The sequence below is a fragment of the Homo sapiens genome, chromosome 2 (genome assembly GCF_000001405.40).
Source record: "Homo sapiens chromosome 2, GRCh38.p14 Primary Assembly".
Lineage (NCBI taxonomy): Eukaryota > Metazoa > Chordata > Mammalia > Primates > Hominidae > Homo > Homo sapiens.
This window is the reverse complement of record NC_000002.12, coordinates 160,514,249-160,515,587: the sequence shown is the minus strand read 5'-3', so window position 1 is coordinate 160,515,587 and position 1,339 is coordinate 160,514,249. Positions and strand designations below refer to the sequence as shown.

At 39.4% G+C, this 1,339-nt stretch overlaps 1 annotated feature.

Annotated features, from left to right (window-relative positions):
* Nucleotides 498–667: an enhancer, noted in NCBI's record as "experimental_54109 CRE fragment used in MPRA reporter constructs". NCBI's record gives its function as "activates a minimal promoter by MPRAs in K562 erythroleukemia cells, with activity observed for the introgressed 2:161371517 variant allele {active_cell/tissue: K562}" and the evidence as "EXISTENCE:reporter gene assay evidence [ECO:0000049][PMID:34662402]".

The window sequence follows — 1,339 nt, the reverse complement described above, 5'->3', positions numbered from 1 at the left end:
AGTCTCAACAACTGCTATCCCTCATTTTCTTCACTTCCCCTAAGCTTCAAGCTGCCGTTGATTTTCCTCTTTCTGGGCAGATGCTTTAACATCACACTTAATTGAAAAGAGAAATCATCATCTGAGTTGACATATCCTGCAGAATTTCTGTGGTCCCTGTACTTGATATTCTTTAGCAAATGCAAATCTAAGCTTTCCCCAACCCCCCAAGCTGCTCTCTTCCCTGCATTTTCACACACAGGTTAAATGACTGCCCACACTCAACATGGCTTGCAGGCAGCAGAGCTGGGCTTCAAAGCCAAGAAACCTGGCTGCAAACTCCTGTGCTTAACCACTACACTGTGCTGCTTCACACTTATGCTACTGCCTTCTTTCTTCTTCCCTCATCTCCCAAATATCTGAATCATCTGTGCTTCTTGATTCAATCGTTACCATTCCTCTCTAATCCTTTGCAATTTCCCTTATAACCTCACCTGTGTCCTGAAATTATTCTCTCCAAAATGTCCTCACCCAAAAACTTTTTCTTGCTTGCACAATCCTTAACTTTTCTAGAGTACTTGAATCTATTGGTGAAGGGAAAAGGTGTGGGAAGAGAATTTGCATTTCCTAAGTAGCTGCTAGGTATCAGAAGTTTTGCATATAGCTAACCTAATTTCTTACAATAGCTGTATGGTATAAGTAATATTTTTCATAAGAAAAAAATTTGCAAAACACATTTGCTTATGGATTTGTCTAAATGAGGCTATTTTAAAACAAAGAGAACTTTTTAGGATTTAATAAGACACAAAGCCCAATTTTTAAAATGAACAAAAGATTTAAACACACAGTTTACCAAAGAGGGGTAAACAAATACTAAAAAAAAAATGCTTAACATCATCATATTATCAGTCCATTTTCATACTGCTATAAGACTGGGTAATTTAGAAAGAAGAGAGGTTTAATTGACTTACAGTTCCGCGTGGCCGAGGAGGCCTCAGGAAACTTACAATCATGGTGGAAGGAGAAGCAAGACACCTCACTCACAAGGCAGCAAGAACGAGAATGAACACAGGAGGACCTATCAAACACTTATAAAACAATCACATCTCGTGAGAACTCACTCACAATCACGAGAACAGCATAGGGAAAACTTGGCCCCATGATTCCATTACCTCCACCTGGTCTCTCCCTTTACACGTGGGGATTATGGGGATTACAGGGATTGCAATTCAAGATGAGATTTTGCGTGACACAGCCAAACCATATCGATCATTAACCATTAGGAAACTGCAAACTTAAAAAATACCACCTACGCACACACACTTGAATGGCCCAAATAAAGAAGACTCAAAATACTAAC